This window comes from Homo sapiens, chromosome 14 (assembly GCF_000001405.40).
Source record: "Homo sapiens chromosome 14, GRCh38.p14 Primary Assembly".
NCBI lineage: Eukaryota > Metazoa > Chordata > Mammalia > Primates > Hominidae > Homo > Homo sapiens.
This window is the reverse complement of record NC_000014.9, coordinates 96,535,803-96,562,093: the sequence shown is the minus strand read 5'-3', so window position 1 is coordinate 96,562,093 and position 26,291 is coordinate 96,535,803. Positions and strand designations below refer to the sequence as shown.

The window sequence follows — 26,291 nt, the reverse complement described above, 5'->3', positions numbered from 1 at the left end:
GGTGAAACCCCATCTCTACTAAAAATACAAAATTAGCCAGGCATGGTGGCGGGTGCCTGTAATCCCCACTACTCGGGAGGCTGAGGCAGAAGAATTGCTTGAACCTAGGAGGCAGAGGTTGCAGTGAGCCGAGATTGTCCCACTGCACTCCAGCCTGGGCGACAGAGCAAGACTCCATCTCAAAAAAAACCAAAAAAAGGACAAAGAAGAAAAGAAAAATATAAAAACTTCAATTTCAATGAAACTATACCAAAAAAAAAAAAAACGAAATATTGTTTTCTCCTATGAAATTAAAAAAGGTAAATAAGATGTAAGAAGTAGGAATGGAAGACATGCAGCCTTCCTGGAGGACAACTTGGTGATGTATACCAAACTTTAAGATAAAGCATACTATTTTCCTCAATAATTCTTCTTCCATTAATTTATGCTAAGTAAATAAACATGAATGAATGGCAGATATGGTATTTAGCTGTAACCAATATTACAGCAGGAAAGCACAACTTTCTTTTTTAAATGGAAATAATTGCTATGGATAGGAAATTGGTTGGATAAAAATAATCATAGCCTTAAGACAGCATTCTATGAAGCCATTAATAATTTTGTAGATTACATAATGATACACATACTTTTTTCTTGGTTTACAAAGTGAATCAAAATTATAAAGCAAGGGCATTATGAGGGCACACACAAAACCTAAGAGAGTTTTGTTAAAATATCCATCATAGAAATCTGGATAATTTGGGAGAAGGGGGAGAATTTCCAATTTTTCCACAAGGAAAGAAAGTTAAAAGCCTTCAATAGATTTCAATTTCTAGGGAAAAAAAATGAGTCTTTTACATTTTGGGGAAAAAAAAATTTCTTCCACCCCATCTACACCTCATTCAAGCCCCATGTACCCCAGGTTCTAGCCAAAACCTTACGCCAAAAACTGCTTCTATAATCATAACAAATTCTCAACCCAAAGAGACAGATCATGATCTCAGCCCGGACTATCAAAAATCCTATGTATCCTTTGAGGACCACTTCAAATGCTACTTCTTTCTTCAATGAAGACATGTACTGCTATTTCTGCAGTCAGAAATAACATCTTACTTTTCTTGCCCCGTGGCCCCCAGCCCTCAATTACTTTTTCTTTGATAATGTAATTAATTACATTCATGACTTATCTTGTCTACTTAATTATAAGCTCCTTTAAAGGCACAGAATGTGTTTCACTCATCACAATATTCCCTTCAGTGTTCAGCATTACATAATTAACAGTAATAAACAATACTAAAAAAATCTAAAACCTATAGCACAAAAATACAATATTTTAGAGACATTTCTATTACATCTTCTGTACTCTTAATTGTGTATGTATTCTAAAGGCTAAATTAGTATACCTTTGCTTCTGTTTTATCATGTCCACTCAAAGCAAGACAGTTAGCATCTTCACTTGTTTCATCCTGTTTTTAAAAAAAAAAGCTTTATTCTCTAAAATGAAAAATTTAGATTATTTGCCAATCAATGCTTTACTTTATAAACTTTAAAACTATAAAATAATTAAACCTGTAAGATCAACTACAGCCTTAAAATAGATAACTGGTCCCTCTTTTAAAATGTTTTTATCAGATTAAATTTGGCTTCAGTAGCTAATAAAATTAAAAAGAGCATTAGGAAAACTGTTACTGCAGATCACCACCTAAAGTACATTTCCAAAACCACTAAGAGTTCATAGAAATATATTTTGTAAGGAAAAGAAAAAAAAAAAAGAGTTCCTGATCATACAACTTTAGGAACTTGGCATAGTATCACCCCCATTCTGGGAGATTCACACAGAGTGGCACATAAAAGGTTCTAATAAATTCTATCAAGAAAGAACTCCACTTTAATTTTCCCAAGCTTAACCAGAGAATCCTTGCTCTTGGTACGACCTACTAACATCCTACAGAATACAAGACTTGAGAAATGCCTTGCTTGGGTCTTAATAACTATTTTGACACTATTTTCTCAGCAGAATTAAAATTTAATTTTAAATGTGACTTTTAAAACAGGCATAGAAAAACCACAGGCTTATAGCTTAGAAGAGATTTAATACAGTATCGATCAATTCCAATAAGGACTTTATTTGTACCCTGCAAATATGCAAACTTTAAAAATAGTAATGTGTCACAATTGGCCAAATCTGAATACTGACTGATATGTAAAACTATGGATTATTAATATTTGTGTGACAAATATACGGTACTTATATTTTATAGAAGTCCTTATTTTTAGATATACAAAGAAATGTTTTTGGTTGTTATGCCTGGGGTTTGCTTCAAAACAATGGGGAAGGAAGTGATGTGGGTATGTAGATAAAACAAGGCTGGCTGTGAGTTGTTAACTGTTGAAGCTAGGTGATGCAAACATGACAGTTCATTATACTTATGACATGTTTGAAATTTTCCATACAGAAAGTTTTAAATATATACATATATACACATATATATATATACATATATATATGTGTGTGTGTATATATATATATATAGAGAGAGAGAGAGAGAGAGAGAGAGAGAGAGGTTAATTTAGCTATAATCCAGGAAATAGAGCAAACATTTTCGATTTTTATTTTACATTACCATTTATATTTATTTGAAAAACCTTAGGATATGATGACCATTAAGCAGAACTAAACTACCTCAGAGTATCTAAAACTTTCCTATCTATATACACGTTAGTGCATTACTGAGTGAGGCCAGTATTTCTTTCTGCTTTGCTAAAATTTCTAATACCAAGTACTCATTAGCAGAGAATAAAAGACCCAATTAAGAAGGGCTTCAAAATCAGGATTACTTCTACCACAGCAAATTTCTTTTGACTAAAGCACCATGAGATTTAGGCCTGGGTTCTAATCCTGCCTCTAACTGTAACTAGATCCGTAACTGGAAAAGCCACTAAACAGCAAGTTCTTCTGGTAGGAAATGAGATTAGCCCATGGAATAACCTAATACCCCTTATCTTCTTAAAATGCTATAGTTCTATTAATCAACTCCGTAGAAATACTGTAAGCAAAATCCAGACTGAGAAAACATACACCAAAAAAAAAAAAAAAATTACAGGGAAAAGTGGGGGAGGGATGGAGGAGGGAATCTATATTTTAAAGGACACTTAGAGATATCAAACAATTGCAACACAGGGATCTTTTTCTGCTTCCAGATTTAAACAAACAGCCTATTTTTTAAAAAATCAATGAAACAATCAGGGGCCATTTGAGCACTGACTAGATGTTTGATGATATTAATAAATTGTTAATTTTTGTGAGTAGGCTAATTTTACTGTTAATGCTTTCATTCTTAGATATGATTTTTAAGATTCTAATGAAACATGTTTGGATTTTGCTTTTAAGTAATTCAATGGCAAGAGAAAATGAAAAAGGCTGAAAGAATTAAGATTACAAAGATTGGCTGAGAGTTAATTATAACAGAAGCTGTGTGATGGGTACACAGGTACATAAAATGACTCTTTTATATGTATTTTTAATTTTCCATACTTAAGTTTAAAAATTCTATATTCTTATTGCTTTTCTAAACCAGACAAGAAACACAAGTGTTATTCTACCAAGGTAAGTGCAAACAAAATTGCAAAATACTGCACTAGTACAAACTTATTTAGAGCTCTTAGGGTGCCATTTTTAACATAAAGAAAACCAAATGTTAAATGCATAGAATTATGCTTAAATACACTTTACTAATGTCAAAAGAAATTTGAGTTCTGAAATGCCGTGACAACTTCAAACCAGTATCAGTAGTCTGAATGTGTAATTGACACAAAAATTGAGTATATTCTTTAGCTGCTGCACAACCCAATCATGTGGCAGCAGGGCTCTTAATAGGATCTCCAGGCCTAACTTCTAGAAGATCTCTGATTCAGTTTGGAGAAAGCCCTAAAATCTTTATTGAAAAACAACAACAACAAAAAAAACCCCAAAAACTAATTCTGTTGTACAACCAATGATGAAAATCACTGCCCTAAGAGATAATTACACAGACACAGATGAGTTTTCAGAACACATCTTCTAAGTTATGATTATTTACAGTGGGCCCTCCATATCTGTGGAATCCATATCTGCGAATTCAACCAACCATGGATCAAAAATACTTAGAAAAATAAAAAATAATACAACAATAAAAATGACACAAATTAAAAAATACATCATAACAACAATTTAAACAGCATTTACATTGTATTAGGCATCGTAAGTAATCTGGGGGATTTAAAGTACTATACAATACCCGTTTTTCATTCTCATTTACCATCTTAAGAGTGACAAAATTCATCAGATTACTTTTAGTTAATAGCAGCTATTTCCAAAAAAAAAAAAAAGAAAGAAAAAGTCTTCAGAGAATAAGCTAAATAATAAAATAATAAAATAATTTTTCACCATTCTTAATCAAAACATAATAGAATCCATGAGAAATCTAGAGGGGTTTTTTTTCCACTCTAAAGAAATTGTGTTGTAGTAAGTAAATTACTAAATACATTCTTAGCAAAAAAAAAAAACACAATGAAATTGGTGCTTTTAGACTGTCATCTCTGGGGCAATTGCAAATGCCTCACTGATTGGAAAACAACATGAAAGTGACTCGAGGGAGAAATAAAATTGTGTAACAAGACTACCTCTATTTTAAGACTCATACGAAATCAATGTACAGTTTTAATGGTTTTCCCAAAACTAAGACTGTAACAATTATAAACCAGGTAGTATAAAAGGTTAATACCAGCTTGCAAAGCATAGTGGTTCCTGTGACCTCAACACTTTGGGAGACCAAGACAGGAGGATCGCTTGAGCCCAGGAGCTGGAGACAAGCCTGGATAACATAGCAAGACTCTGTCTTTACAAAAAAATCTTTTTTTAAATTAGGCAGGCATGGTGGTGCGCACCTGTAGTCCCAGCTACTTGGGAGGCTGAGGTGGGAGGATTGCTTGAGCCCGGGAGGCAGAGGTTGCAGTGAGCTGAGATTGCTCCACTGCACTCCAACCTGGGCAAAAGAGCCAGCCCCTGTCTCAAAACAAAAAACAAAAAATTAAGCTGGAAATGGTGGCATGCACCTGTGGGTCTAGCTACCTGGGAGGCAGAAGGATCGCCTGTGCCCAGGAGTTAAAAAACAAAAATGCAAATGATGCTAGAAAGTTTCTTTAAGGGTTAGAGAGCTAACCATTTAAGGTTCAAAAACTAATCTGGCTGCATGCACTTATCATTCAGTAAGAAGTCCCTGAGAACCTCTGGTATTTGATGGTCCTATAACACCAAGTACAGTAGAGAAACTCCAAAACTCCTTTTGGATCACAGAAGCAAAAAACTGTCCAAAGGACCATCAAAAAATCAGTACAAATAAAAGGTAGTCATTAGAGAATAATAAGTTAAGAATACATGTAATTTCATGTTAAATTCTGTTGTAGACAATACCTGCTAACTACACACACTAAAGAAGTTTAAATGAGAGGGCATAGCTTTATAGCAGAGGTAGTTACTGAGAAGAATGGGAAAGGTGAAGAGAAACTACAGCACTAAAGCACTACAGACACACCTAAAATTTTCTAAAAGCTTTGTTCCTTGATCCTTCTCTATTTTGGTTCATAAACTTTTCTTCCACTGGATTTAAAAATAGGCAGTTGGTGTTGCCATGGCTAACTAATATGTTTTTCATATATATACCTCTTCTGTTTTGGTTTTCTTGGGACTCTCTTCTTTATGAGGTGAGGATGTCCTCTTGACTCCTACTATAGGAGTAGGTATTTTTGTTGCTGCATTTCCTGAAGTTGCTGCATTTCCTGAAGATCTAGGTGGTGGGTTTACCAGACGTGTTGAAGAAACAACTCTGGAGACCGTAGGCTTTGGTGGTGGAGAAATGGCTGGTTGTGTGGCAGTTTGAGGAATGCTTTCACTCGATGTACCTAAGCAGCAAATATATGAGTATATACAAATTAAAATAACCAAATCAGTATCAAGTTGTAAGTTTTTGTTTCTCTGAATTTGATTTCATGAATAACTTTACATGCAAAAAATAAACTGGCATTTAAAAAACTGAATTTCAACTACTTAACAAACCCACTTTTCAAAATGAAGGCTAAACCAAATATAATGTAAGAATTCTCAAACCTGACAAACCCAATCTCCTTACCCCCTGAGCTTTCACTGGAATTTACTTGTGGCACAGAAACTTCAGTAGCCTGTATGTTGGTCACAGATGCTGCTGTTACAGCTGGAGCAGGACTGTTTCTGCTAAAAAAAAAAAAATTAAAAATTGTCTCAAAATTTAAAAATAGAAAAATAAAAAAAAAATTACAATAATCTATAACATATATAGAAATTATTTTGTAAAGTAAATGATTCTTTGGTTTTACTTCCTATACATACAATTTAGCAACTGACTTTATTGGATAAAGTATAACAACAGTAAATAGTACACAAACCTTCTAAAGCAGCACTGTCTAATGTTACTTCCTGAGATGACAGAATGTTCTATATCTGTGCTACTGGACATGGTAGCCACTATTAAAACATAGCTACTCTGCACTTAAAATATGACTAGTGAGAAACTATTTAATTTTAATTAAATTTAAATTGTCACATATGGCGGCTGGCTACTATATCGCCAGAGTGGTTCTAAAAGATCTATTCTTAGCTAATTTTGGCTAAGAGACTTAACTGAAGGATTTTTTCGAACAAAAATCCTTTAAAAAGTTATTAATAAGAGGCCAGGCATGGTGGCTCACGCCTGTAACCCTAGCACTCTGGGAGGTGAGGTGGAAGGATTGCTTGAGCTCAAGTCTGAAACTAGCCCGGACAACACAGTGAGCCCTCGTCTCTACAAGAAAAAAAAAAAAAAACCTATATTATTAAAAAAAAAAAAAGTTATGAATGAGCAAATGTTCTGAGAAACAGAAAACAGAAATAAACTTCTGTATACAAAGTATAAGAGTTTTATAAAACCCTAAAAGCCCATCCAGTGGCCCAGTTAAAGACCTTTAAGTGACAAGGGGATTATTTCAATATCTTACTTTTAAAATAACTTATTTTAAACCCTCTTTACTCCCCCGAAGTTTCTCTCTCATTTTCTCTTTCTCATGCCAATCTCAAATGACCTTCCTACTTAACAACCAACCAAAAGCCACTAGCCAAGTATTACCCCAAATTCTAAGTATAAATATTAAAGAGACACACCTATTTCTATAATTAACCCCTATTCTTTCCTATACAAAGAAATTATTCCTTATTATATAAAAAAGCCCAATCTATGTTCTAAATCTCACTAACTCCTGTCATCTCAAGAAACTCAAATCATCACACTCCTTTACTCTCCCATCCAATTTTCCTGTCTCAAGTAAATCCTACACATTAGCATTTAAATAAATTCACGGTTTTATTACCTCCTAAAAGAAAAACAAAAGCAGAAAAGTCCTCTGGTTTCTCTCTCTGTCTCTATCTGTGTCTGTGTGTGTGTGTGTCTGTCTCTCTTTCTCTCTCTCTCTCTCAGAGCTATCACCCACACTCTGAAACTGGTGAATGATGACACCATGAGGAGGTAGGCAACACTTCGAAGACTTGTTATTTTTGGTACTTACATGACATCCACAGGGAACCACGGAGCAGTCAACTTATTAAAGCTATGGATATCATTGGTATATGAATGTAAATGTAGTCAACAGAGCAGGTGTTACCACTCAGGGACAATATCAAGAGGGGATAAACAGACAAAAGAATAATGAGAGAGCCCTCAAGGGCACAAATATTAAATGACTAAAAAGAAAAGGATAGTTGGCCAGAGAACAACCACAGATGCTGAAGAAAGCCTGAAATGGCTAGCAAGGTGCCTAGTACATAATAAACACTCACTGCTTGTTGAGCAAATATACAATCGTATTCTAAAAACCCAGAAGTTTTATTTACAGAAGTTACTTAGTATTACTTCAAGAAACTAAACTTCAAAACTAAATTTGTGAAATTATTTAGTACAGTTGTACACATTTTATATTTGTGCACACACTCAAAGGACACAGACTTTCACAGATCCCAAAATTCTTATTAAAATGTTAGTTTCTTCACTTAAAAAAAAACTTTTAAAATGATAACACTTACAGGACATATTCAGGCCTGAAGTCTTTGGATTATGCATGATTTGCCTAAAAACATATACACATGAAGTCCAAAAGAAAGAAAAAAACACATCCACAACACCTCAGCATTTTCTATTTCACACTCATCCAGGGAATCCTCCCCAACCCGCACTTCTGCCATTGGTTAAATTGTAATACAGGCCGGGCGTGGTGGCTCATGCCTGGAATCCTGGCACTTTGGGGAGGCCAGGGTGGGCAGATCACCTGAGGTCAGGAATTCAAGACCAGCCTGGCCAACATGGTGAAACCCCGTCTCCACAAAAATACAGTAATCAGCTGGGCATGATGGCAGGTGACGGTAATCCAAGCTACTCCGGAGGCTGAGGCAGGAGAGTCGCTTGAACCTGGGAGGCGGAAGTCGCAGTGAGCCGAGATCGCGCCATTGTACTCCAGCCTGGGTGACAGAGCGAGACTCAAAATTTTTTTTTTTTTTTTTTTTTAAGACAGGGTCTCACTCTGGTTGCCCAGGCTGGGGTACAGCAGTGGGATCACAGCTCACTGTAGTCTCAACCTTGCAGGTTCAAGCAATCCTCCCACCTCAGCCTCCTGAGTGGCCACGACTACAGGTGCATACCACCACACCTAATTCTTTTACTTTTTTCTAGAGATGGGAGTCTCACTACGTTGCCCAGGCTGGTCTTGAACTCCTGGCCTCAAGTGATCCTACCACCTCAGCCTCCCCAAGTGTTGGGATTACAGGTGTGAGTCACTGCACCTGGCTGAAAATTTTTCACTGCTTCATACCCAGGGCAGTGGCATGCGCCTGTAGTCTCAGCTACTCAGAAGGTTGAAGTAGGAGGATCGCTTAAATCCAGGAACTCAAGGCCAGCCTAAACAACACAGCCAGACCCCATTTCTCAAAATAATAATAAATTTTTAAAATTTTAACTGCTGTAAATGTTAGACAGATATCTAGCTCTTCTAAAACAGGTTTCCCTAACTATCATAGACACATTCCCTGTTACAAAGGTATAAGCAGCTCTGGGACAGAAAGGTGGTTTTGTTCCTTTTGTCTGTTCTCATCAGCACACCATACAGTGCACTGTAGCAGTAGCTATCTAAATACATGAATTTGGAGGGGTTATGTGCTAACATTCATTCACATCTGACTGAAGACATTATCAGTCTCAAAAATAAAATGTTAAGTATGACAAGACAAAACCAAAAAGTACTATCCCCAAACCTGGGAATTAAATTGCTATTTAAAAAAAAATTAGTAGATGGAATGAAAATAACATTCTAAATAGATGACTTTAATAGCAAAAAGAGAATGTATCTGATTGATTTAGCAAACAGCCCCTCCACTTCTATTTCCCTCTTTTTCCTTACCCCTGAGAGCTGCCAGAACTGTTCAATGGACTGGTCTTCGTAGCACTAGTAGGTGAAGGCACAGACATGCTGTTATCACTGTCCATAGACAAGTCGAGGCTGCTGTCATTGAGAGCTGTCAATTTGACACCTTCTGTTGAATGCTGCAAACAATAAAACATTTTATCAAATATATCTTTATTTCATCCAAATGTTGAAACATGGAAACCTTTTACTTAACATATATGATTTTTACTGAAAAGCACAGATCACTAAATCTACGAAAGTTAGATGTGCCATGCTGACTCTAAAAGGCAACGATTTGGGAGTCAAGTACTTTCTTCTAAGAAGGCATCAACATTAAATATAGTTCTTATGTGGGAGAAAAAGGGAGAAAGAAATGCCGTATTAAATGTACATACTGACTGTAAGATACAACACAAATTAAAAACACTATAATATAAAAACACAAGAATCTCAAATCAGAGAACTCTAAAAATATACACACACAAGAAAGAAATGTCTCAACAATAAACATGGGACTACAATGACTCTGGAAAGTGGGACTAGAAGTGATTTTGTTTACATATAGATTTCTAATTATCCTACAATAAATATAAAATTTTTTTAATTTCAAAAAGTGTAACTTATTGCCACTCCTTACTATTTGTCAATAAAAAGAGCCTCTCTCAAAAGCAAGAGACTTCAGTGCTCTAATTGCAATTCAGAATTTTTTAAATGGCATGCTTAATACTGTAAATTATCCTGTGAAAAGAAAAGCAGAAATAACTTTCTGAAAACTAAACATAATATACAAATCCTAATGTTGGTCCTCCTTAAAAATCAAAGCACCCCAAAACAAATAATGCAGAAAAACCAAAAACTATGGATGGTTTCATGGAATTAAAGTTGCTTTCTAGTAACAGAGTTTAAATTTTCGCTATTTGGTACTACTGTAATATTACATTCAGCTTAATTTTTTTTTCCAGAATGTTTAGCCTGTGTTCACTTACCTACAGAAACATTTTAATGAAAATAATTTATACTGTTGACAAAAATACATTCCTTATACATGTGCCTGCATTCTCTGCTTTCTAGTTCCCCAAATAACAAAATATTCTTATCTTTGATTTAGCACTAGACATATCACTTATGTACATGAATGAAAATTGATCAAATGGGGAAGATGAGATTTGGTAGAAAGGAGAGGAAGAGAGAGTAATGCCATTTGCTTATGAAGTCAGTCGTGAAATAGAAGTACCTAATATTATAAATGAGTATCTCTTCTATTCAACAATGCTACCAATCTTACTCTCCACTAGATATGAGGATTTATTCAGTAAGTAAATTATATTCAGTTCTACAGTTACCTGCCTACCTGCCTCACTAAGTGGCCAAACAGCTGTGAGTTAACAGGCCACTGTTGGGGATAAACTGTGAAAGTTTATCTGGTTGGTCTAAACACAAAACAGCATTAAGCTACTTTGCTTTGTTTGCTTCTATATCCAGATCAAGTTTGGTAGCAAGAGACCTCAAAGCCAAATAGTCATAAATATTCTATCATAATTTTTAATAAAATAAAACAAAGAACATACTACAGAAAGAAACACACACACATACTTTGCAGTCAGACCTAGGTCCAATTCACAGCTCATACTACATAACCCAGGGCAAGGTTCTCAACCCCTCAGTTTCTGCTACTAAAGACAATACCCATGGGTTGGTGGAATATTAAATATAAAAAGGACTCGTACAGTGCTTTGCAAAAAGCAGTTAATAAAAGGAAGCTATTTATAAGAGTCCAAACAAAACATTCATAGATCTTGACTCCTAGACACTTGTTATTAAGCAAGAAAGTGCTATTTTACTAATGCAAACTTAGAAATAATCTAAATGATCTCAAATACAGGGTAGATTTAATCATACTGTAGCTATATAAAGAGATATTAAACAACCACTAAAAATGTAATTTGGATAGATGGTCACGATATGTTAACACAAAAAAAGGCAGGTCACAAAATAGCAAGTTTAATCAAAAACCTTTTAAAAATATGTATGTGGTAACAGGCACTGAACAGTCTGTGTATAAATAAAATGTTAAAAGTAGGTTTGCTGTGAAATTATAGTTACTTCATCTGATAGAATTTTTGGACCAAAAAACAAATTTCCAATCATTAATGATTCTCTTTATATTCTAGATGACTATATTTAAAGAAATAATAAAACATCTTATATTCAAATTTACTTAAAATGTACACAAGATGGTTCCAAATATCAATATTGTCATGGAAATACTAAGAGTTTAAAAAGGTAATCTGAATATATGATTCTGAGAAATCTAATTATCTGTTATAAATAGCTGTTTATTAAATAGCTATTTGATTATGAATTAAATATTCATAAGAAATAGCCAAGTTCTAAAGAACATAATCTACTTTCACTTCTGAAAACATAAAACGTTTGTATACTTTTTTAAAAAAATTATTATTTTGTAAGAGACAGGGTCTCGTTCTGTCACTCAGACTGAAGTGCAATGGCATAATCATAAGTTCACTGCAGCCTTGAACTATTGGGCACACATGATCTTCCCACCTCAGCCTCTCAAGTAGCTAGGACTATAAGGCCCAGGCCACCATTCTCAAAAAAATTTTTTTTTAGAGACGGAGTCTTGCTGTGTTGCCCAGGATGGTCTTGAACTCCCAGCCTCAAAGGATCCTCCTACTGCAGCCTCACAAGTCACTGGGATTACAAGCATGAGCCACCATTCCCGGGTCCAAAATGTTTATATTTTCTGTATGTGATAAATTTACATTTAAGTACAATTGATTTAACCTATTAATAATACAACACTAAAGGACAATTAGAAAGCAAGTGTTTAACTTGATATTTTAGTTTTGTTTTCCTGAGGCTAAGCTCTAGCTGAGATACTTTAATTTTAAAATAAAACTGCTTGATGGAAAATTTTACAATAAATATGTGGAAACATGCACTGAACAGTCTGTGTATAAATAGTACATTGAGAATGGTACATTTTTGTCAATTTTTATTTAGTTAACTAAATTTTTAGTAAACCATTAGGTTAAGAAGAAAATTTTTGGCCAGGTGCTGTGGCTCACACCTGTAATCCCAGCACTTTGGAAGGCTGAGGCAGGCGGATCACGAGGCCAGGAGATCGAGACCATCCTGGCTAACACGGTGAAACCCCGTCTCTACTAAAAATACAAAAAATTAGCTGGGTGTGGTGGTGGGCACCTGTAGTCCCAGCTACTCATGAGGCTGAGGCAGGAGAATGGCGTGAACCCAGGAGGCGGAGCTTGCAGTGAGCCGAAATTGTGCCACGGCACTCCAGCCTGGGCAACAGAGTGAGACTCCGTCTCAAAAAAAAAAAAAAAAATTAGAATAACATCATGTTTAAACCTTAAAAACTGATTTTAGACCCCTCCCCATCTATCTACCTATCTCCAAGTTGTGAATAACAATGATGGTGATAACAAAAGCCAATATGAGCATTTATTATGTGCCAGGAGCTAGTCTAAACCACCATTTACATGTATTTATGTATTGGCTCATTTAATCCTCATGAAATACCTAATAAAATAGGTAAAAATATTGCCACAATTTTAGGGATGAGACAAATCAAGAATAAGATGTTTGCCATGTAACTTGCTCAAATTTCACAGGTAGGAAACAGTAGAGCCTGAATTTGAACAAGGCAGTCCACTCCAGAGTCCTTGCCTTTAATTAACTTCAATGCTTTTGTATCATAATATATTGTTTTAAGAAACAAAATATTATAAAATTAAAGTCTTTTGTGTATTAATTTCATTCCTTTCCTCCCAACCCCAATCCCAGACAACCAGCCATTTTCCTGAATGCAGTAGTTGTCATTCTGTAACATATACTTTTATTTCATATTCTCTCCTAAATACATTGTTTTTTAGGTTTTTAAACTTGTAAACTTTATATGGAAGTATCAAGTGATACATACATACATGTGCCTTTTTTATTCAACATATTAGTATATGCAGTTGTAGTTCATTTATTTTCACTGCTGCATACTGTGAAGTATTCCATTATAAGAATAAACCATCTATTTTTGAAATCACTTAAAGAAAAAACGTAATTTGTATCTGTCCACTAAAATTCCAATATGCTCACTAAAGTCCAAATAAGGAAAAAATGGCTCTAAGTTATTCAAAAGGAAGCACTAACACTAGAACAATGTAATGCAAAATATTAACTCAGTGACCTCTGTTCATGACCTCCTTTACACTCAGCAACTTTTAGTTTTTAATATACGTTATATTTTTTACATTCACCAAAAAAAGCGACTTTCATTTTTTAAAAGTCTCACATAATTTACTTGACCCACATATTTCCTTACTAATTTAATTTAGTTTACTTTTTAAAGGAAAGAAAATTAAATACTGGTGTGGGATTTTTAAGTGAATAAGAATAAAAAGTCCTAAAAGAGAATACGGGTATATACAAAGTAAGGATATGAAGCATCACCACTAATCCTTCTAAAATCTAAAGCAACTGTGTGCAAGAAAACTGATTAGAGTCAGATTTCACATAATGAAACTGCTCCATGAAACAGATTTTTAAAAAGCTGTCATCTATTTAAAATGACTTATTAACTGAGCCTAAATTCTGAAATAATGATAGTCCAGATGCATAAAACATTATGTTAGTAATGCTTTTGTAAGTACTTTCTAAATTTACCTTTTTCTTTTTCTGAAGCACATGATTAGGTAGTAGTTGATGGAGTTGCTTTCTTTTTACATGCATTGCAGCAATTTTCATATCCACCTCAAACATCTTGCTGTTTATTGCTTGCCTATAAACTATACAATTAGGAAATTGTTACAAGAAATAGAAACATTTTAATAAAGGCAGTTATACTCACTCCAGAGAAACTATTCTAAGTAGGGATCCTTTTTCCATCAATACTGCATATCTGTAGATCGGTCAAGACCTATTCCTAATCTGACATAATTCATTGCCTGAGCAAACTCCTTTTACCACAAGATGAGCTGAATAAAAGCACAAAATGTATTAATTCTTCCAGTGTAGTAACCCTTTAAATAGCTCTTAAAGTAGTAACTCTAAAGAGTAACTCTTTAAGAAATGGCAGAAATGAGGGGAAAAGGGTTTCTTACACCCATACCCTTTTATGCTACCAGTACTATTCTTTAAAACTTTACCCAAGTATGTAACACATGCTGTAAAATAAGTCAAACTTATTAAACTATACCTAAAGGTATCTTTACAAGAATCTGCAAGATAAAACTAACTAATGACATACTTTCTAATATAGTAATAATTTAAATAACAGAGGTCACAGGTACAAAAAGAAAATGCTACAATTAAATAAATTCAAATTATTTAGATCCAGAGGGCCCCAAAAAGTAAAAAAGTCGGTCATACAAAACATATTTATGAAACACCTATACTTGATTCATATTGTCCTAGACACTGGAGATAAGCAGTGAACAAAGACCAACGTAGCCTCAAAGGGTCTACATTACAGTAGGGAGAATAGAATAAACACAAAAAAATAAAACATAAACTATAGTCCGTGTCAGATGATGATAAGTATTACTGAGAAAAACCACGTAGGGAGTAGGATAGGAAGCTCAGCCTGGAAACTGAGTTGACATCTGACTGAAGATTTAAATGAACATGAGGATGTAAGCTGAGAGTACCTGGTGAAATAGCATTCCAGAGAAAGCAAACATCAAGAACAAAATGCCCTAAGCAGCAGAAAATGCCTGGAACATTTGAGAAACAAGAAAAATGCCAATGAAGAAGATGAAAAGTAGAAATCCATAATCCCTTATGTGCAACTCCAAAATCCCAAAAACTCTCAACACACAAGTTTTTCTAAGATAGGAAACAAAATTCATCTAGTAACAAACCCTGTTCTGAACTATTTGTGGCTATGGCTATATGGTCTTTACCTTTTGCTCCATGTGAGTACCAATGGTTCCCTGCAGAAATGATACTGTCTTTCAGTACCAAATGCTGCTCCAGGCCTCACTGGGTATATTACTTACTAACTTTATTACCCTTCTGGCTCCAAAACTTACAGATAAAGGACTGTGAACTTATAACAGGAGGTAAGGTCACAGACATAATGAAAAAGGCAGATCAGGCAGAGGCTTGCAAACCACAGTAAAGACTTGGACTTTTATTTTGAGTGAGACAAATACTCAAAGGTTTTAAGGAGGCAAGATATGATCTGGCTTAAAAATATCATCTGGACACTAGGTAAGAACAGCTGAAGGGGGCAAGGGCAAAAGAGAAAGTTTTGGCAATGACAGTGATCCAACAGCACTATAGTGGCTAGGACTTAGGGTGAAAGCAGTGGGAACAGTACTAAGTAGCAGAAACCTCAATGTATTCTGAAAGAAGAGGCAAAAAGATTTTATAGTGGATTAACATCAAATATGGAAAAAACAGGAGTCAAAGACTGATTCCAATGTCTCTAGGTTGAACAACCAAAATAACTTGAAAAGAAACTGGTAGGGGTTGGGAGTGAACATTTGTGTGCTGAATATGTGAAACCTATTTTCTTTAAAAATCCCATAAAGTATTGGATTAAAGTGTTTCAATATACAGGACAACTAAATATTTCCTTCCCAAAATACCTAAAACATCCTTGAAAATCTTGATGGTTCATTAGTGCAATCTTTGATAAACATCTTAACTTGAATGCAATGTACAGAACAAATTTCTAATCCAGGTAAGTATCCGTGACTTATTAGTTCATAAATGAGTTAACATCAGAATTTTTACTTCAGGAAAAAATACTTCTGTGGTGTTCAGCAGGTGGAGTATCACCCTACATACGACATTCTAAAAATCTGCAGAGGTATTTTTGTTATTGTATTGATTAAAAGGTATTATGCCTAGAAACACTATATATCTTTCAATGTGGACAGTTCTACCCAACACAGAATTATACCATGTCCTTCCTACATTCCTAAAGACAAAAAAACCTACTTGGCAATTATTTAAACAAGAATTCACTTCAATTTTAAATTTAAAAAATGGAGTATTTAAAATAAAAAACGAGAAAAAACAAACAAAAAATAGAGTATTTTAATTTGAAATTTCCAGGAATACAACTACCACCAAGCATATCAAAATCAGATCACTTTTTATTTGCAACTTTCACTTTTACCAGGTCACCAATGCTAACGCTGCTGGTGATAGCTGAATCCCTACAGACAACACTTGTATCAGTCAGAATTTATAGATGTCACACTGCTCGCGATTCTACATAAAGTGCAATCACTTGACTCTTAAGTTATCTTCTAGTGTCACTGTATCTGAGCACTGACATATTGAAATACATATCCTTTTCCTTTTATTTCTCCTTTATATCACAGTTAGTGTACGATACTGACTTTTTAACAAACTGGCACTAACTTTTTTCTCTCCTGTAATTAGGTAAAACATTTCTTAATTTTAAGTCTGTATGTTCTCAAGTGAAAACTCCTCAAAGGGAATAAAAATGCCACTTACTACATTTGTTTTAAATGGGGAGAGAAGGACAGTATCTGCGAGAGAAAAGGATTAGTCCTTAAAGAAGAAATGCGGTTGTCCCTATGCGTAGTATTTGCCATTCCCATTAAAAGTTGTGCAGCTACATATAGACTCATTCTCTCAACTACATCCACCATTTGGTCTTTGGTTAAAATGAACTACCTTTCATCTTAGGGTACAGGTCAATCTGAAATCTACATATAATCAGCCTATTTCCCACCTATGCATTAACATTTGAATCCCCATAGTCGGAAAATTTCTCCAGGTCATCACAAGTTCTGCTTCATCAATTTCTCAGGTTCAAGATGATGAAGGCAGTTAGACACAGATTCAGTCTAGACAACCATATATTCAAGTTGTTTCCCATTTCTCAAGAAATTATGCGCAAGTCAAGTTTGGAATGGTTCTACTTAACTTTAAGGTCACCACAATAGAGAAAAATCGTGTATACACAGGTTGAGTATCCCTAATCCAAAAATCTGACACTGAAACTGCTACAAAATGCAAAAATTTGTGAGTGCCAACATGATACTTAAAGGAAATGCTCACTGAAGTATTTCAAATTTCATATTTTCAGACTAGGGATGCTCAACTGGTAAGTGTAATGTAAATATTCCAAAATCTGAAAAAATCCTAAACACTTCTGGTCCCAAGCATTGTGGATAAGGAATACTCAATCTGTATTAGACTAATACAAAACCATTATTCTGATGATAGTTCAATATTCGCAAGTAATTTCAACAATTATTGTAAATATCACTATGGTATGCATCAAGACAATTTGAAATATGCAAGAACTGAAGTGTTTTGATTATCCAAGTAAAGACATACCTGTATCTGTGAAAGACTGAATATCATAGGTGAGATCAACACTGAGGTTTTCAGAGTTTTCTGTTTTTTTAAACACTAACCCAATCACCCACATCGTGCGAAATTCTTCCCTGCAAAGAAGAGCATTACCATAGTTTATCTGGATTTCATGAAAATGTAGCTATCAGTGTGGCTGACAATCAGAGACATGGAAAAACTTACAATACAAATGTATGAGCAAACTAAAAGTTCTAAGCCCAAGCTCCATGAAAACGCAAAGTCCTCACCCACACCTGTCCTCTATATTCCTACTACAACATAAACAGAGATCCAGGAGAAATATACTCTTACTAACTGTGCATTGATAGTCAATGTCCTTAATGATGATTCTAAAGAACCAAAGCCACTGAAATCAAAGAAAAATTATCTTTAAACTAATGAAGGAAAAAGAATAATCTTTTTAGAAAAATCTGGGAAAAAAAGGATTTTTCTAAATACAGAAATTTAACTAGAACTTAATAGATATTTCTTAAACTTCAAAAATTCAATTTAAAAGGCCACATGAACAGAAGCATAACAGGAGTAATTAGTGATTTAGCTACTTTTGAACATTTAACAGTTTATCTACTGAATGGAACATCAAACGGTCTTGTTATAATTAAGATTAGAATTACCACAAAATGTAAAAAAACTCTTATATAATTACAAAATAAAAAAATCTATATAATCAATAAGAATACTGTATAACACAAATTTAATGATCCTTTCACTTGTTTTAATGCTGCTTTATTTTTTAAAATAAGCTCATTACTAGTACTCTCCAATTCTCCAATGCAACAAAGTATAGAGTCTAGTCTCATACGAACAGCAAACAATCAAATCAACAACTAACCTACATAAATAAAAGACCCCTAAAAAGGTAAACTGACTCTGCTTTTTCTTATGTTATCTTCTCAACAGTCCAGAATCACGCATAAATCAGATTTTTATAAGTTCATAACAAAAAATTAAGATAAAAAGCAAAGACTGATGTATGGTATACCAGCTATTCTGACAACTATTGTACAAAACAGGAGAAGAAAAAATATTAAGAAGGAATGGTAAAGACAGTATTAAAGCAGAACTGTAGAATGTAAACTCTAGCTAACAGGCACCTCATCATTGGAAGAATATTATCAGAAAAAAAATGTGTGCTGATTTTTCTCACGAAACAGTCTTTCTCTTCAATGTTTCTGATCAGGAAAAACTAAATTATAAGTTCTAAATTGTCTATAAGCCATATGTAGTCAACAGAATAGTTATACTAGTTATAAAAAATGCCTGTAAAAGCTTCTATGAATAAAAATTGGAAATGGGAAGAAGAAATTAAATTAGAAAAGGGCTTACTTGTCGGGATTTTCTTTGGGTGCTGGAAATGACTGGGGATTCACATGAGCCAGTGTAATAAATTCATTCTTCTCCAAGCTTCCAACCAGGATTCGGATTTTTGATTCCACCAAGCCCACCCTGAACAAATGTCACTTAGTATTAACAAAAAGTTTTGGTTAACTTAAAAATAAATAAATAAAATGCACATACCAGGGCATTTCAACTAGCTGAACTCCCACAGATAAAACCAGAAGCCTTATGTTCTACCCAAAATTGCCAAACAACGGGGAAAAAAGAGCCAAGAAACACTCCATTCACACCAGCAAGGTTACAAAAGTTATCCACACAAAAATTTTAAGAAAAACAAGCTATAAGTGCACTTTAAATATACAATTAAGAAATTATGCACGGATCTCCATAAAGCAAACAAAAAAATAAGTTGCATATGGATCTCCTGATTTCTGTACTTCCACTACACACAGTAAAGCTCCATTTGTGAACAAATCAAACCAAACTAGAAGTTTTAAGGACTTCCTCCCATCTCCTACTGTGTTCAGTGGCTATGTGATTCATTTTGAAGTTTGCTTTTTCTGTAAAGTCTATTCTTATACTCACCATTCCAGGCGTTGTTTTTCTGTTGGTGCACTTGCTAGAAGTACAATATAATGCCTTTGAAGATAAAGACAACATGCTATTTATTTTATTTACACGCTTTGTGCTGGATATTAAACCATAAAGTAATAAGCTTCCTTACAGTTATAGATCCACATCAATTTAGCAAGGGGGACTACAATCTCAATATGCACATAAAATCATATATGCTAAATTCCATGTTTCTAACTACTAGTGAGTTTAATTCTTCTGAAAAAGGCAGTGACTTTATGAATAATTACCAAAAAGCAGCTTAATTCAAGAAGCATAAATAAGCATTAATAATTTTGCTCAATGACACCGATTGAGTGCTCTGCCTATAAAATTAAAGAGCTGTTCACTAAAATATAATCTACTTATAACAAAAATGTTTCAATAGAATCAAAACACCATTGCTTTAGACACAAAAACTTATCACTAAATACACATACTACAACAGTAACTTCAAAAACAGTATCAAACACATCATGCTTTTAAATTCAAATGAAATAGTAGTGAAAATTAAACTGAATACTGCAGTTAGGCCCTGTGATTTTTTTCCCAATTTTAAGAGTATACATTTCTATAATCAAAAAAGAAAAAAAAAATCACTAACATGACAGCAACAAAGAAATCTGATTTTTATCCAAAACTCAATCCCATTCATATTAGACAAAAGCCAAGTTTTCACTTCAGAAAATAGCATCATGATCAAATAAATAATGAAGTCTTTTTAAAACAAACTATTTACAACTAAAATGTAACTACAATGATTCAGTTTCCTACGACTAAAAAAGTTCAATCCAATATACTCTTCTACAGTACCCATTTTAGAAGTGCTGGGGGCCAAATTTCACACCAGAATCTCTACCCCAAAAAGCAAACTGACATCATCTAGTACTGACACTAGTTTCAAAAGTAGCAGTATAACCACAATTTTAAAATTATTTTACTCTTTGAAAAGTCTAAAACCTTCCTAATACTTTCTAACACATTTTATAAGTATAGTTTCTAACCAAGAGCAAAAATCTGACCTAGACCCAGAGAAAAACTACCAAACTTATTTTAAAAAAATGTATTTGAAACATGGTTTCAGCCGGGTGTGGTGGCTCACGCCTGTAATCCCAGCACTCTGTGAGGCCGAGGCGGGCGGATCACAAGGTCAGGAGATGAGACCATCCTGGCTAACACAGTGAAACTCCGTCTCTACTAAAAATACAAAAAATTAGCCGGGCATGGTGGTGAGCACCTATAGTCCCAGCTATTCAGGAGGCTGAGGCAGGAGAATGGCATGAACCCAGGAGGCGGAGCTTGCAGTGAGCCGAGATCATCGCACCACTGCATTCCAGCCTGGGCAACAGAGCGAGACTCCGTCTCAAAACAAAAAAAAGAAAAATGGTTTTAATTCTTCACAGCTATGTAATCCTAGGCAATTCTAAGTCTTGTGTACATCATCTGTAAAATGGGATAATAGTACACATTTTACTGGCAGAGGTATTGTAAAGTTCAATGGAGTTAACTTGAAGTCTATAAACTCAAGGTAACAGAGATAGATATATAAAAAACAAGGTATATAGGGATATGTGAATATGCAGTCCAAACTCCTACAAACCAATACTTCCTTTACCAGTTTAATTTGCTCAGCATTATTTGGAATATGTCAAATACATGAGCAAGCACAGATGGCCCAAATAAATCAACAAAAGTCATATAAAAGCATTAAAAAATCATGTATTTTATGTGTAGAAAAACCCATACTCGGAGTTCCAAATGCTCTTAAATCAAACAAAATCCTAACAAGCTCAGTAACCTGATTTCTAGGTCCCTAAAACATTAAAAATGGCTAACTGGTTAAAAAAAAAAAAAAAGGTAAAGAACATGCAGAAAGAGCTCTCTCACGAAAGTACAGTGACTTGTAACAGGAGACAATGAAGTATAGAAATCAGGCATGTACACAAAAACACAAAGCTGTCTGGGTCCATCTAAGGGCAGGGACAAAACTCCCGCAGTCTCTAAATCACTCTTACAACACATTATTAAAATGGAAATTCTTAATAACCACCTTAGTCTTCAACAAAACCTTAAATGATATACAATGTTCTTTATTTATAAAGGGAAAACATACAATCCATTTGGACACGGTTTTGCTGGCAATTCAAAGTTTTGAATCCTAGAGTTCAACATAACTTCTTACTGAAATCCAAAAGGGAAAGAGTACCTACTCTGTATATATCTTACACACAAATGCACACATTCACATATAGGTAGAAATATTAAGTAATTCTAACAAGTATTTATGCTGAGGTTAAATGTCCTTTACTCAGCCACATTTAAACAAATTTGAGTTGAGATATAAAATGCAATAGTTAAGTTTAATAAAAAAAAACCCGCAAATATTTTGAGTCATTAGGAATTCATTTACAAAACAAAATTCCAACTGCATTCTCTAAATATCTCTATTTTTAATTTTTAAAACCAGGATTGGTACTCAATTCTTAAGGTCCCAATCAGACCACAGAAACCTAGTGTACATCTAAATTAGACATTTTGTTGATGTACGAAAAATCATGGTCCCCTATTTTACAAGTGCCATGTTTAAAACTGTCATGTTTATGATGCGCAAGTGCCTCCATGCGAGACTTTGAAGTCTTGATGCAATTGCCATTACCTTTTCCCCAAATTTAAAAATATATAGTTTCCAATAAAAATAGTTAAAAACATAGTTAAAAATAAATTTAACTATAAAAATGTATCCCAAAATAATTAGAATTTATGCAAAGTGCCCTAAAAACACTTAATTTAGTTACTTTATTACCTAACTGCTATTTGCAAAACAAATTCTCTAAGTGAATCTCTTGAAGACCATTTCATCTCACCTGGGAAGATCATAACTCAGATGTACAATAAAAAGCTGGCATATCTTAGTCAAAAATGTTTGCAATTCTATGTTTACGTAATTCAAGACCAAGATTTAGTTTCCTGTTTTTAACTTTTTTAACAAATTTAAGGTTACTGTATACACACATGAAATTATAAAATCATCTTGCACCTTAGAGAATACATTGGTTTTCCTAATACTTTTCCTTTATTCCTAGTGAAATCTAACAACTGAAGTAAGTATTCACATTTCCTAATGTTAATGATTTACTGCTAGTTACATGTTAACTTGAATTATCTCAGAAGCGGCATTTAAAAAACTGTTTTCTTAGAACTCCAAAAATTTCACAAAACAATGTTACCCCTTTTTCTTGAGGAACACTGATAAGTCTTTCTGGAAGATGATTAGTTTGCATTTTAAAACAAACGAGATTTTTCTCCATGGTTCTGGCTCCTTCCAAGAATGTCAGGTATATTTCACATGATTTAAAATCCTACACATATCAACTGACAGTATTTCATGATATGCCTCAAATAAGATTGAATCAACTTGTGACTCATGGGAAGACTAAACATTTCCATTTGGTTGTACAGTCAATCTTTGGAGTATTTTATATGAGGATGTCTTTAAAAATTCAAATCTGTGAACACCTCCAAAAGCCTAATGATAGTCATCACTTTATCTTAAAGAGGCAAATTTCTGGAGAACAATTAAAAATATAAATAGAATTTGGTATGGATAAAACTAGCCCATTGTCATATTTTAAAAGTTTTCACAAGACACTCAGCTGAAATGCAAATTTTCCTGATGTAATTTCCTCTATTTGTTGCTGCTTTTTTTACAACCTAAAAAAATTTGATTATTTCACAAAAACTTCAGTGAAGATTAGTAATATATCTTTTAACCAGTCAAAGAACTTACAGGTACTATCCAGCAAGGACTGAAGCATAGTTTAAAACTTTTAAAAGAAACATTAAGCAAGCTTTAGAAAAAGCACCAAAGTTCTAATGATGTGAATTTGTTCAAATAAAATGACATTATTAAGGTTTGTTCAGTGTAAACATTAATCTTTCTTAAAGTGAAAGAAGCCCCGTCACAGTCCTATACGAAAGTGAATAGAACAAAGTTTGAATCTAGTTTCATCATTGATTCCAGGAATTAAGGGGTACTAGCACTTTCCTGTAAAACCAATTCCTTTATTCTTCTCCTTACATGTAACTGTGTCTCTTTTATATCATAGTTTTAAAAGTATCTACATACATGTTTATTAGTTTAAATGTTCCAAGGTACTTCCTCTACACTGGTTAAAATAAAAACAAAGAAAAATTATCTGTCAAACAGAAATCACAATTTATGGGGGGATTCGTAGTAAAATAAGAGTATTTAATGATTATGCTATTTTAATTTTTACTGACAACGTAGTGCTTCGAGAACACAATTACTGGCTCCGTTATTGCTTTCTCATGCAAAAGATACAGAAACAAAACACAGAGACATCATGAAGGTCATCATTCTTGTTTTTAATTGGGGAAGAGCATAAAGCAATCTTGCTTAGATTATTACAAAACACAATCCAACACAAGATCAAATGGTCAGAAAAGCTTCAAGCATTAAAAAAAAAATTTTAAGTGGGACTTTGGCACATTTTCAGCCCAGGGCAAATAAAAGTGCAAGTCTGTGGTTTGTCTGTTTTTTAAATAAGATTATAACTTACATTTTTCATCAAAACTAACACAATTAATGAAGCTTTTAACCTGTACTAAGGTATTAAACCATTATATTTAAACCATTAATTAAAATGATTAACACCCACTTAGATTCATGAAAGCTAGCTGTAGAAATATTTGAAGGGGCTATAACATTGGGGGAAAATGGCAGGCCAATAATGTGCTGTAACTATTGAAAACATTTAATTGGCTATATATTGACATTTTATTAGCTTTGTCTTTGTTTTAAAGATTCCTAGCAATTAATGAGTTTCCAGAATTAGATAAAAATACTGTTTCTTAGCAGAGAATTATTAACTACAGATTTTTCAGGGTGCATCCACTTGCCACTGTATACAGATGTACTGTTTTTGTCATGACTGATGTATGCCTACAGAACTTATGTTGCTACAAATGTAGCAGGAGTTCAGTTAGATCGGGCAGAAAAATCAAAGGGGCTTCACATTCATTACCTCAACCAAAAAAAACTAAGGAGTTCACTAAAACAGTATGTCCTTGTGACAGGAAAGAAAATTCTTCCAATAACATTAGTCCAGCAAGAAGAAATGTCATAATGTGCTACCATTAAACCATTACTTAAGAGAGCAACATGTCCGACATGCCTTAAAATACATACTTGTACTTTTGAAAGAAGTTTGGAGCTTCAAAAAGTTTGGACCACTCTGCCTTACTCAGCAAAATTTCATCTGTGATAGCAAGACCTAAATTAAAAACATATTAAAATGTTTGCATACTTCAGTCTACAATCTAGAATTTTAAATAATCTTAATCATACTACATGCACTCACTATAATCCTAAAACCAGAATTTTAACATATATAGTTTTAGCTTATGATTTTAGAGCATACTCTTATATATATACACATTTTTTTTTTAAAAAGCTGGAAGATTTTTTGAGAACCAGGTTTCTGGTAAAGTACAATTATTCTAAAATGCCATGCTCATAGAATGACCTTCTTTCTTAAACACTCCAGTTACCCGAGAAGGAAAACTTTCCAATATACTTTGTTTCTTGCCTTTCTAAAACCAAGTTTCCCTGTTGTTTCTAAAGGGATAGAGGCATCTTCCCTTGATGGGCCTCTTTAGACTAAAGATGAAACTAAAGTGTAAAATATTCAGGAATTTTAAACGTCTAAATTTAAAGCTAGTAGTCAGACAACTGATTCTATTTCCTTTACTGTTTTCAGTCAAACCAATCTGTTCCAGTTATTTCTCTCAAAGACTATTTGGTAGTAGCTATACCTTCAAATTAACAGTACAACTAGGGTTCAAAAGTTAAAAGGTTCCTCCAAAATAATGGAATGTAATTGGGTGGTTTGGCCCCATTCCTGCTCAAAGTTCTTTCCCAGGAGTATACAGCCTGCTAAACATCTCTCATTTCAACCAGTGTAGACAAACTGTTATCATTTATAATTTTACAAGGCAATAGTATGCAACTAAACCAGCTTACTGGTTTTAACTGTTGGTTAATCTTCCAACTTGTTATAAAAAACAAATTGCCTAAAAGGAATTAATTTTTTGAAGTCAGTTCTCAAATATATACTGTAATAAATAAATGAACACCAAAATCCACTTCAGTGAATCCTTCTTCAATTTAAGTTGCACAGCTGACTACTGGGTCTACAATGGTACGTAAATCCTTCCTGTATAAATCAGAGCATAAGGATAAACACTTACCTTGTTTAAACTCCTCAACCATGACCATCCGTGTTGAAACGGACACATTGTACGTGGAGTTCTGTTGTGGGTATGCTGGTGTAATTATAGGCATAAGATGGTACCTATCACTGGGGTTTACCTACATACAACAACAGCCAATCAGTTTCTTCAAGTACATATGCAACAGATACTTGGGCTTTTTACCCCTTGTTAAA

General features: G+C 34.0%; 1 protein-coding gene across 8 annotated transcripts in view; it reads right to left on the bottom strand.

Moving 5' to 3' along the window:
* The window catches only part of PAPOLA (poly(A) polymerase alpha), a 64,741-nt gene that overhangs the window by 5,023 nt on the left and 33,427 nt on the right, over positions 1 to 26,291 (bottom strand). For 3 of the 8 annotated variants that reach the window (NM_032632.5, NM_001293632.3, NM_001293628.2), the window contains 10 exons: positions 26,095 to 26,215; positions 25,034 to 25,118; positions 19,798 to 19,851; positions 19,201 to 19,320; positions 17,836 to 17,945; positions 14,176 to 14,297; positions 9,472 to 9,614; positions 6,147 to 6,247; positions 5,681 to 5,919; positions 1,383 to 1,445 (listed from right to left, as the gene is read on the bottom strand). In NM_032632.5, the coding sequence (NP_116021.2) occupies positions 1,383 to 1,445; positions 5,681 to 5,919; positions 6,147 to 6,247; positions 9,472 to 9,614; positions 14,176 to 14,297; positions 17,836 to 17,945; positions 19,201 to 19,320; positions 19,798 to 19,851; positions 25,034 to 25,118; positions 26,095 to 26,215 (1,158 nt within the window). The remainder of the gene's footprint in view (positions 1 to 1,382; positions 1,446 to 5,680; positions 5,920 to 6,146; positions 6,248 to 9,471; positions 9,615 to 14,175; positions 14,298 to 17,835; positions 17,946 to 19,200; positions 19,321 to 19,797; positions 19,852 to 25,033; positions 25,119 to 26,094; positions 26,216 to 26,291) is intronic. The other 5 variants (NM_001363662.3, NM_001363665.3, NM_001363664.3 and 2 more) reach the window with 3 other exon arrangements.